This window comes from Homo sapiens, chromosome 7 (genome assembly GCF_000001405.40).
Source record: "Homo sapiens chromosome 7, GRCh38.p14 Primary Assembly".
In the NCBI taxonomy this organism is placed as follows: domain Eukaryota; kingdom Metazoa; phylum Chordata; class Mammalia; order Primates; family Hominidae; genus Homo; species Homo sapiens.
The window spans coordinates 22,957,653-22,970,000 of NC_000007.14; the positions used below are offsets into that span (position 1 = coordinate 22,957,653).

The 12,348-nt window shown below is 37.2% G+C and overlaps 1 protein-coding gene across 5 annotated transcripts in view; it reads right to left on the reverse strand.

Annotated features, from left to right (window-relative positions):
- Nucleotides 1–12,348, reverse strand: part of HYCC1 (hyccin PI4KA lipid kinase complex subunit 1) — a 118,288-nt gene that overhangs the window by 61,810 nt on the left and 44,130 nt on the right. For all 5 annotated transcript variants that reach the window (XM_011515590.3, NM_032581.4, NM_001363467.2 and 2 more), the window contains exons 8-10: nt 6,763–6,879; nt 3,583–3,670; nt 2,604–2,763 (exon numbers count right to left, since the gene is read on the reverse strand). In XM_011515590.3, the coding sequence (XP_011513892.1) occupies nt 2,604–2,763; nt 3,583–3,670; nt 6,763–6,879 (365 nt within the window). The remainder of the gene's footprint in view (nt 1–2,603; nt 2,764–3,582; nt 3,671–6,762; nt 6,880–12,348) is intronic.

Genomic DNA, 12,348 nt, shown 5'->3' on the forward strand with positions numbered 1-12,348 from the left:
ATACAGCTGAGGGTTTGGGAAGAAATTTGTCCTACTGTGAGGGTTGGTGTGGTGAGGGAATAGTAGGGATATGAGTGGGTGGAATGGGAAACACATTTAGAGTTCCATTAAATATAGAAACTCTAAATGTATTTTCATACAGCCATAAACTGAACTTACATTCTATAGTCCTATGTTTCAGAAACATTATGAGATAAAAAGGCTGTTGTGGCTCACCCTGGGATCTACAAGCCCTTTAACATTGTTTCTAAAGAAATGTATAAACAAATTTTGTTTTGATTTATATATAAATATTAACAATAGAATTTATATATTAACACAATTAAATTAAAAAATCTATAATTTGAGAAATTTGTAATTTATATATAAACAAAATTAAATTTAAAAATCTATTTATAATTTGAGAATTGTCTATATATCTAAGAAGTACAGCAAAGGTGTCTACCTTCCCCACAGGAAGCCAGTGCCTGTTAGAGAGCCTAGAAAAACAATGTGTTCAAGTAGGAAGCAGGACCATGAGGATGGAAAATAGAAACCTTTCAAATTCAGCCGAACATGGTAACTTTACTGCTCTAGAAGGGAAAGCCAAGACTACCCTAAAAAGGGAGGAGACTGCAACCTACCTGTAGAGGCAAATAAGAAGGACTTAAGAGTATTTTAGAGTCCACTGGATAAAGGGAATTCACACTAAAGAAGAGTGATAAACAAGGCTAAGCTGTATTCTGTACCTGTTCCATGCATGTGACTTACTTTTTATAGTTCATTCACTTCTATATTCTCATCTGTGACTTTATTGTTATAATAAACAGAGTTTCCCAAGTGTTAGAATTGTGAAGGGGTACAGGTGATAAGAATGCTACTTTAATGAGGGTACAATCCTAAGACAGAGTGCTAACCCCTCAAGTGGCAGCCAAAATACAATCTGGAAGATATGTAAGAATCTGCTAGAAACAATACATTCAAGCAGTCTTTTCTCTTGTTTTGTAATTTTTTTCCTATAAAATATGTCTGGGAAATGGCTTCCATTTTGTTGCAGGGTACAGACCTCCTTGTTTAAATGTACGCCTGGACATGCACACATACTCTCTCTCATATACACACATATGCACAAATACAAGGGAGCATCAATATTTCACATTTTTAACTGCAGGACCTACATTTCTCTCCCAAATTCCCAATATGTCTACCTAAATAGCAAGAAGGAAAGTGGAAAAGAAATTAAAATTCATTCTTGTGCTTCCTGTAGCAGTAGCTTAGAAGCAATTATGGCCACAGTAACCACTATGATCTGCTTCATTGCCTCCGTGCCTGTTCTCACACATTAATGCCAAAACAGAAAAACCAACCTCAGGGTAAACCATATCTAATTAAATTACTTTCTACCTGTAATCTAGCCCCATTCAGTAGCATAATTTTCACTGAAGAAGCTGAAGTATGTTTAGACTATATGTTTTAAATGGTGGTATAATTTGCCTTGCTATTGGCAAACATCACCGCCTCTTTTATACTTTCCTATGGAACTTTCAAGAATTGCTACACTTTAAAAACACCAAAAATGATCACTAGGTAAGCTGGATAATCATTATTGTTTTCTGACATACAATCACCTAGATTCCTTAAGTGAAAACAATGGCAACTGTTCTCATCACCAACTTTCTAGTTTACCATAAATAGCTCCATTCTTCTCCTTTCCCATTTTCTCTATAGAAACCACAACACAACCAGTACCAAATATACCAAAAGGAACTATTATTTTCACCTCAGTTTACAGGAAGAAGAAAATAGAGAATGGATTTTGTTTTACCTCTAATATACACGTTTGCTTAGGGTAAAGAAGTAGCTTTTTGCTTCCCACCATGGTTACCTTCTGAGGAAGGTGATAATTTCCTTCTTAGACTGGTTGTTGACACTACAATAACTTCTAGGTAGGAGGGAAGTTATAAAAATAATATGAAATTAAATAAAGAACAATAAATTAAAAGACAAGGGAGGGAAATGGGAAAGCACTGAAAAAGCCATAGTGAATGAAAATGACTTCCAATAAAATTTTAAAATAATAAAATGAAGCAGACAAGAAGGGATATATATATACACACACACATACACAGAATCTTGAAAGAAAATTAACTTCAAGAAAATACAACTAGTGTTGCGTCAACACTATGGCATTCTTTACCAGAAAGTGCAGACAAAGTGTTTAAAGTCCCTATTAGTTGTTCTACTTCAATATGTAAATTCACTTGCTTAAGAGTTCACTGAGAAATCAGAAATATTAATTAAGGAACATTTGCAAATACTTTTGAATACAAGCCCAAAATGTATGAGTAATTTTAAAATGCATTTTCCTTATTCTCCTACTGAAGTAACAATTTCAAATTGAATATGATTTTTAAATACATTTTCATTCATATGTGTAACATAAGGGGCTCCATTTTTCTTACTGCCTATTGCTCCTAGATAATAAATTAGGAGTTAAGGGCAACTCCACAGCTCTTTCTTCCAGATTACTATTTACTGAAGTTAGAAGTTATAGCACCATAAGTACAGTGAAAAATGTAAAAGAATCAACAATGGTTTGACTTGAAGAGTTACGTATTTCTTACCATGTCTTTTCCACCTATGACCCCTTATTGACATGCTGGTTACTGCATTTCTTGATATTCGAGAGGAAGTTGGTGTGATTTCAACTTGAATACACCTTGTACCTTCCTTATTAGATTTCATGGGACCATGAGGCAATGAAGCCTTTATTGCATTAGCAACCTAAGGAGAAAAAATATAGTTTAAGATCAACATGAGCAGATAGAGCAGATATATTATCTAACCCTTCGATAAAACATGATGCTAAACAGGCTTATACAAAGAGGCTCTTCCCAAGCATTTTATAAGATGATACAGAAATCCTCTAAGATAAGAATAGGAGGCTAAGAGGGAAATTCATGGTTAAAAAAATATGTAAATGATAAAGTTAAAAATTTCAAAATATTCAATTAGATTTCCAAATGCCTAATGTTAATTAATAAATGCAGCTAAAGTATGTTAAGGAGAACAATTCTCATAAGTTAAAAAGACAGTTAGGTGTCTAGGAAGTCAGTCTAATAAAAATTTTTATTTTGGCCAGGTGCAGTGGCTCACGCCTGTAATCCCAGCACTTTGGGAGGCCGAGGGGGCCTGATCACCTGAGGTCGGGAGTTTGAGATCAGCCTGACCAACATGAATAAATCCTGTCTCTACTAAAAATACAAAAAATTAGCTGGGCATGGTGGCACGTGCCTGTAATCCCAGCTACTCGGGAGGCCGAGGCAGGAAAATCGCTTGAACCCAGGAGGCGGAGGTTGCGGAGAGCCGAGATCGTGCCATTGCACTCCAGCCTGGGCAACAAGAGCTAAACTCCGTCTCAAAGAAAATTTAAAAAAAAATTATTTGTTACTTTTCTAAGTTATAAAACTTCCATGTATAACAAGAGCATGAATACACTGAGTATTAATGACATATTAATAAACTATGAATGGCTCTCAATTTATAGTTCTAAATTGAGAAATCTTAAATTATAACATTTACATAAATAAGTCAGGCACCTACCAGCAATGGCTCTGGATATAATTCTAGCTGGGCTCTGTATATAATATCATCCAGTGCTTTTTGAGCTAGATCCCATTCTCCATTATAACTATAAAATTAGATGAATTAAATGAAGAAATTATAATTATTTATAACTGAACAAAATACAATGAGAAACTATCTTTACTGAAGAAAATAAAAGATCATATTAGCACATTGCTTAACATTCTACTCCTCTTAAAAATGTATCTTTAAATCTTTGAATTCCTTTCAATTGCATCTAAATGCCTATTAATAGCAAAGAAAATTTTATAGATGTACATTTCTTCTCTAAAGAACATGACTATTTATAGAACAGAAATAAAAAAAGCTAAGGCAATTTCAAAGCATTTTATACTTTCAAAGCAAATCAGAGAATAATAAATTATATACCTTAGAAAAATGTTCAGAACACTTTATGGCCAAATTATTCTGTAACTCCCACAGTTTTTAATGAGAATCTACTACCAGTGTGGCTTGCAGTATCCTGAGTAGTTATTTCTTTGCATTCTGATAATCACTTAGAAGTGTATTTGCTACATGTTGCAAATAGCAGAGCAACTTGAGGGAAAAAGTGTGTGTGCATGTGTGTGTGTGTCTGTGCATGTGTGTGTGTGTGCATGTGTGAGTGTGTGTGTATGCATAATTTTCAAAGATATGCCAAACCCTTCCTAAAAATCAGCTAAATTACAAAAATGAACAGGGATATAGTGGCTTGATCAACTTCCAACAAAATAAAGAGGTATAAATTACATCAAGAGTGCAAGCGAGGCCTAAAAACTGGCAAGAACATTGCTCCCACCATAAAAACAAGATAAAGCCAGGTAATCTACAAAATTATAAATTCTCAAGAATCCATCAAAGAGCCGAGGTAACAAGGGCTTCCACATAGCCGGAACCCTAAAGGGAGACAGGTGCCTCTAAGGAGAGATGGGCCACAATACAAGCAGGTAAGAAACATTTAGCTAATTTTCTTAACAAATTCCTAGAAGCCAAATTGCTAAAAGGTAACTCATGGGCTAGCAGGAGAGTACAGAATCTCTAAAAGCACATACAAGTGGGAGCCTGTATCCACCACAGGCTCTTCGCCATAAATCTCCTTTAGGCACTCACAAGAAAAACTAGAAACAGGGCAGGTCAGAGAAAACTGCCCTTGATGGTATAGGCCTGAAGGAAAAGAGTAACCACTCCTGTGAGAAAAGTACAAAGAGCCAGCCAGATGCCTTTATCACACAGAACAAAAATTTTAAAGCCTTTGGGGAAAGAGCAGCAATCCCTTTCACCCCCCAGCGAACAAGTGAAGACCAATTCGGCTCTGAGGGTAAGAAAAAAAAAAAAAAGCAAAAAACCTCTCATTCTATGCTGAGATAAGTAGTGGGGGTCATCACTGAAGGGGCAGGACTACTGAGAAACTCCCATCCCTGAGATGCGGGGACATGGGATCAGCCTAAAACTGAGGCTGGACCAGGACAACAGAGAACACTACCTCCCCCCATTTCCATGCCCCCCCACCCAACCCCACCACCGCCCCAGCCACCACCAGGCTAGTGCACACCCAGAACCAAGCAACAGAACTGTACTGCTGGAGGAAGGGGTGAGAACATGGAAAGAAACCTATCTGCAGTGGAGGCATACAGAGAAGGCTGAAAGCTGAGGACGAAGCAGGAGTATTAAGAAAAACCCTCCAGCAATCCAGCTCTCCACCTAAGTACCAGGTAGCACTAGAGGAATTTGAAGTAGATGGTGCCCTGAGGGTAACCATAACAACAAAACCCAATCCTAGGTCACTTCTGCCTATAATAATTCCACTAGCAGCCTAGAAGAGGCATGCCCATTTCCTGTCATAAATAATATTTACCTCAGTCTCTACTGTCCTACTGCTAAACAAAATCATGAACAATCAAAAATTACAAGGCACATGAAAAGCAAAACAAACAAGACCAACTCTGTCAAGAGATAAAGCAAGCAGTGGAACTAAATTCATAGATGACCTAAATGTTGAAGTTATTTGGGAAATTAAAATAACTATGACTAATATACTAAAGGCTCTAGTGGAAAAGACGGACAACATGCATGAACAGATGAAGATTTCAGCAAAGAGACGGGAACTACAAGAAAGAGTCTAATGAAATGGTTAGAAATAAAACACGGTAACAGAGATGAAAAATGCCTTCAGTGGTCTCCTTTCTAGACTTGATCTAGTCAAGGAAAAAAATCCATAAATGCTGAAGATATAGCTAACAGAAATTACTCAAACTGAAACACAAAGAAAAAAGATAAAATAAAGTAGATCAGAGCATCCAAGAACTGTGGGACAATATTAATGGTCTAACACAAGGGTCAGAAAATTTTTTCTTAATGGGCCAGACAATAAGTATTTTAGGCTTGTGGGCCGTACAGTCTCACCTATTCAACTCTGCCATTGTAACACAAAAGCAGCCATAGACAATACATAAACAAACACGCATGACTGTATTGCAAAAAACTTGACAAAAACAGGCATCAGGCCAGACTGGGCCCACAGACCATAAATTCTGCCTTTAAGAAGTTTATAAATTCTGTCTTCAAAAAGTTTATACTCTACTAGAGAAAATTAAAAGTATCAAGTGAATATAATGCAAAGTAAATGAGATACATATAATAAGAGAATTATAAAGTAAAAGATAGGGTTCAAAGAAAAATACTAGTACCCAAGTCATCAGGTAAGACAGACTGAGCGCCAATATTAGAAACTAATAGAAAGCTAATAATAAACTATTTCTAATCAAAGAGGCTCTGAAATTTTTTTAAGAGCTAAAGTTTCTGGCAATGGAAAAATATATTTCTTGAGGAAAAAAAGCTATTTGGAAATTATAGCAAAAAAAAAAATGAAGAAAGGGACCATGAATATATTTAAGTGTTACTGATTTTCATTCCGTCCTTGAATTTAAGAAAGATGATGAAGTGTTTTAGTTGGTTAGAAATTCTTCAGAACTTTAAAAGATATGTTTTAAACTAAGATAATAGTTTTAAAGTATTAAAACTATTATCAAGATCTTCATATTTCACAAAAAGTATGCAAATCACTTATCTATTGACATTATAATATAGTGACAATAGATGAACAGACTATAATTTTCCAAAGAAATTAAATGTTTATTTCGCATATGATGAGATACTTACAAGGCAAAATAAATCCCTGTTAACATTTGCACCATGAATCCTGAAGAAACTGGTATCCTGCTACTTATACCTTTATATTTTCTTACATGTTGTCGAGGATATCCACAAACACAGATTCTAGAAAAACCAAAATAAATGTATTTCTAAAATTGGTAAAATTTTAGGTGATTTATTTTAACATTTATAAGCCAACAATGTACTAGGTACACTTTCATAACAAACCTAATATTTATGAAACAAAGAATCTTTCCAAACAGAACATTTGTCTGTAATACATTCCTGAGTAAGTTATACCAGGAAAAAACATATAAAGCTGAGGTATGTTGATACACAGAGTAAATGAACCAGATTCACTTACTGGTTAGTTCGCTAATTTTGGTCAATTAACTACCAATAATTTTTGGGTACTGCTAAACCTACTACATGAAACTTGGCACTGCCCAAGCTCAGTGGCTCACACCTGTAATCTCAACACTTTGGGAGGCCAAGGCAGGTGGATCACCTAGGCCAGGAGTTCGAGACCAGCCTGGTCAATATGGTAAAACCCTGTCTCTAGTAAAAATACAAAAATTAGCTGGGTATGGTGGCATGTGCCTGTATTCCCAGCTACTAGGGAGGCTGAGGCAGCACAATCACTTGAACCTGGGAGGTGGAGGTTGCAGTAAGCCAAGATCGAGCCACTGCACTCCAGCCTGGGTGACAGAGTGAGATTCCATTAAAAAAAAAAAAAAAAGAAAGAAAGAAAGACAAAAGAAACTTGGCACTATTTGTCATAAATAGATGTGTGGTATGATCCACAATTTCTGACAAAGTTCTTGACACAAACTGCAGGATCCAAAAAAATTCTATAAATTAGACTCAAACTTCATGCAGTATACCATAATAAACTTCAGATAGATTATAACCGTTAATGTTTAAAAACCACAAAGGAAATAAAACATAGGCAAATAGTTACATACTCTTTGCATGCTACCTAAACATGACACCAAAGGTAGAATGCTAAAGAAAGATCAATAGATTTTACTTTTTTTTTTTCAAGAAACTACCATAAACAAAATGACATGTAAATAAATATTTATTTCTTGGCACATGTATACCTATGTGACAAACCTGCATGTTCGGTACATGTGTCCCAGAACTTAAAGTAAAAAAATAAAAATAAAAAGAAGACATGGAAACTAAAAAAAAAAAAAAAACAAAGAAATATTTATTTATTATTATTAGTTTTTTAAAGTCAAGGTCTTGCTGTGTGCCTAGGCTGGAGTGTAGTGGCATGATCATGGCTCACTGCAGCCTTGAACTCCTGGGTTCCAGCAATCCTCCCATCTCAACCTCCCCAGTACAGGTGCATGTCACCACACCTAGCTGTTTAAAACAAAATTTTTTTTTGAGATGGGGTCTTGCTATGTTGTCCAAGCTGGTCTTGAACTCCTGACATCAAATAATCCTCCCACATCAGCCTCCCAGTCGCTGAGATTACAGGTATCACACTCAGCTCCAGAAATATGTATTATAGTGAGGAATATTTAAGGAGTACTAAAGCTAAGGAGCATTTATTATAACGAAAAGGAAGCAACCTAAAAGTCCAACACAGGAGACCAATTATATAAATCATTCAGAGAATACTATAGAAACTAAACATAATGTTTTGAAAATCTATTTAAATGACAGGGAAAAAAAACTGTCCAAAACAACAGATGCAGCATAATCCCATTTTGCAATAAACAAATAGGCGTATAGTGTGTGTCACTGCAAAAAGTACATTAAAAAGTCATAGTTATCTCTGATCTGTGGGATTATAGATCTATTTTCTTCTTTATATTTACATGTATTTTTGAACTTTCTGACCAACATGCACTGTTTTATTGTTTGTTTGTTTTTTGTTTTTGTTTTTGAGATGGAGTTTCCCTCTTGTCGCCCAGGCTGGAGTGCAGTGACATGATCTTGGTTCACTGCCACCTCTGCCTACCAGGTTCAAGCAATTCTCCTGACTCAGCCTCCCAAGTATCTGGGACTACAGGCCTGTGCCACCATGCCCATCTGATTTTTCTGTATTTAGTAGAGATGGGGTTTCACCACGTTGGTCAGCATGCACTGTTTTTAAAATAAACAGTAAGTTTTTATTTTTAATAAATTTACTAGAAAATAGATGCTTTCACATAATATTCTATGCTTGATATAATATGAGCTTCACTTAATATAATACTAGCCAATAGATTGTAATTATTTACTCACTCTTCCCCCGCACTGACTACCTAGAACTTAAAGTTATTTCCCCTACTCAATGAATCTAAGCCTTCACTTTAAAATGTCTAAGTATGCCACAGACCATTTCAAAAATATTCCCCAAGAATGTCATTAATTCAGAGCAACTTTAAAAAATCAACATAAATGCATTTGATATTAGAGGATCCCAGAACTTTTTAGAACCAAGAGTAAAAAGTAAGCAGGGAAACAGAAAAATTAGCTGCATGTGAAATAAAACAAACTCAAGTTTTGTTTGAATTTACAAAAATGTATGCCCAAACTAGAATAGAGACTCCTGTTACTCTTATTAACTAAAGAAGCAAACAAAAAATTTTACTTTCTTACATCTCACATTGTTATGATAGGGATGATTGTATGGTTGTAAATAATAGAGAACCGATGGATGAAAGAAATTTTCAGTTAATTCATTTATTCATTCTGTAAATATTTATTAAAGATTGATACTGTGTCAGACTCTAGAGATATACATGATGGATGTAGCTCCCACAGGGACTCACAATCTAATCATGGAGACTGTGTAGTAAGCAAATATTTTCAATGAACAAGTTCAAGATGTGGTAAAGGAGAGAATGGTAAACTCAGGTAGAAGAAGCGGAGAGTCAGAGAGGAATTCTCAGAAAAGAGATTCCTTTGAATTGAGTCTTGAAGAAAAAGTGATATTTTTCCAAGTGGAAAACATAGGAAAGTTCAAAGGCAGAGGTGGGATGAAACAGCATGACATTGAGGAGACTGTGGATATTTTAGCAGGATAGAGGGCTAGGACACTAGGAAATACTAGAGAAGCTCATCACATCATGGAGCCAGAACATGAATATCTTATAACCTGCTAGGTTTTACCACGTAGACACTGGTAAGCAACTAAAGATGTTTTGTTTTGTTTTAAGCAAAGGAGTACCAAAATCAGATTGGTCTTCCGATAACATCACTCTGGCTATATTGGAAGAGTTCATTGAAACTGGAGATGGGTGGGATGAGGATCCCAGTAGTGAGATGAAGGAGGACTGAATACAAGACATAATGGTGGGTAGGAGGAAGGGTAGGTTTGGAGTCATATCTAGGAAGTATAAAGAAGGTGAGACCAAAGAAATAAGAAGAGTGGATAATTATTTCCACATTTAGTTTGAATAGCTGACCACATGACGGTGTCATTAACTGAGTTAGAACAAATAGGAACACTGGAATATACTGTTTCAGATATGTTGATTTTTAGGTACCGTGGTATAGTATCAATTTTGTCTGCCATGCCACCATCCCTATCTTCTATTAAAAGCACTGCCATCCCTCTTCCCTTTAGGAACTAGTCTTTCCCCATAAAATCAAGAATAATCACATGATTATGGTGAGTCTGCTAATAAAACTATCTATTACAGAGATCACTACCTCCATATCTATTTGTAATAATACATACATATAAGTCACATTCCCTTCCTTTCCCCCAGCAATTTTAGCTAGGAATGCCAGCCGCTCCACTACAGACTACATTTTCTAGCTTTCCTTGCATTTAGATGTGATCATGTGACTAAGTTCTAGACAATGGTGTATTAACCAAAGTGGTGAAACTTCCGGGTCATACCCCTAAAAAAACTTCTATGTCATACCCCTAAAAAGCAGCTACTTGCCTTTCACTCCCTTTCTCCCCACTTGCAGGATAGAAGGCAGATGTAATAGTAGTGATCTGAGACCATACCAACAAGGGCAATACCATAGGAAATGGCAGAATCCCCAGACAGAAGCAACTTGAACACATTGGAAACATAAGCAATCTACCTCTGAGACCACCTACCAGCTTGGACTTTTATGTGAGAGAGAAATAAATATCTACTTTAAGTTATCATTGTTTATCTGTGTTAATACAACCAAAGCAATATTTAACCTGACAGAGTACTCTTCCAATTGTATTACCCAATATGGCCCTATAGGGGTATGTAGAAGTCTCAGGCTGTCACCCCCTTTGCTGGATGTTTTTAATACTGAAGCTGGGAGAAGTTCTTTCTGCTGAGGTCACTAAAAGCAGACAATGTAAGGGCCTGGCACGGTGGCTCACACCTGTAATCTCAGCACTTTGGGAGGCCAAGGCAGATGGATCACAAGGTCAGGTTTCAAGACCAGCCTGGCCAACATGGTGAAACCCCATTTCTACTAAAAATACAAAAATTGGCCTGGCATGGTGCCATGTGCCTGTAATCCCAGCTACTCACGAGGCTGAGGCAGGAGAATCGCTTGAACCCAGGAGGCGGAGGTTGCAATGAGCTGGGATCACGCCACTGCACTCCTGCCTGGGAGACAGAGCGAGACTCCATCTCAAAAAAAACAAAAAAAAAAGTGGACAATGTAAGCCTTTAGCTGCCTGAGGTCACTGTTCTTACCACATGGAAGAAGCCTATCTGCAAAAACAAAGTACAGTGCCAACAAATGAAGATGATGAGATGGGAGGGAATATCCTAAAAATATCTGAGTCTCTGGATCCAGCTGACCCTGAGGCCAGTTCTTTTTTTGTTTGTTTGTTTTTTAAGATGGAGTATCACTCTGTTGCCCAGGCTGGAGTGCAGTGGTGCAATCTCTGCTCACTGCACCCTCCACCTCTGGGGCTCAAGTGACTCTCATGCCCCAGCCTCCCACACCGCACCTGTTTATTTTGTGTGTGTGTGTGTGTGTGTATTCCTATTAGAGACAGGGTTTCACCATGTTGGCCAGGTTGGTCTCAAGCTCTTGACCTCAAGTGATCCACCCGCCGTGGCCTCTCAAAGTGCTGGGATTACAGGCATGAGCCAACGTCTGGCCATCCTGAGGCCAGTTCCATGACTGCTCTTCCTAGGTACAAAAATTTGGGTGTTTTTTTTTGGTTTTTTTTTTTTTGAGATGGAATCTCACTCTGTCGCCCAGGCTGGAGGGCAGTGGCACGATGATCTCAGCTCATTGCAACCTCCACATCCCGGGTTCAAGCAATTCTCCTGCCTCAGCCTCCCATGTAGAAGGGATTACAGGCACCCCACCACTACATCTGGCAATTTTTGTATTTTTAGTAGAGGTGGGGTTTTGCCATGTTGGCCAGGCTGGTCTCAAACTCCTGACCTCAAGTGATCTACCCACATCGGCCTCCCAAAGTTCTAGGATTACAGGTGTGAGCCACCGCATCTGGCCCCTTCGGTATAATTTAGTTTGATGTAGATATCAGTTGGTTGCCATAGGAAGAGTCCTAAAACTTACACGGTATCTATGGGACATGTTGACAGAGATGGTTCCTGGATTGAATATACAGGTTTAGGAATCAGGAAGGAAATAGTATAGGGTTCAGGAAACAGAACATAGGTAAGTTAC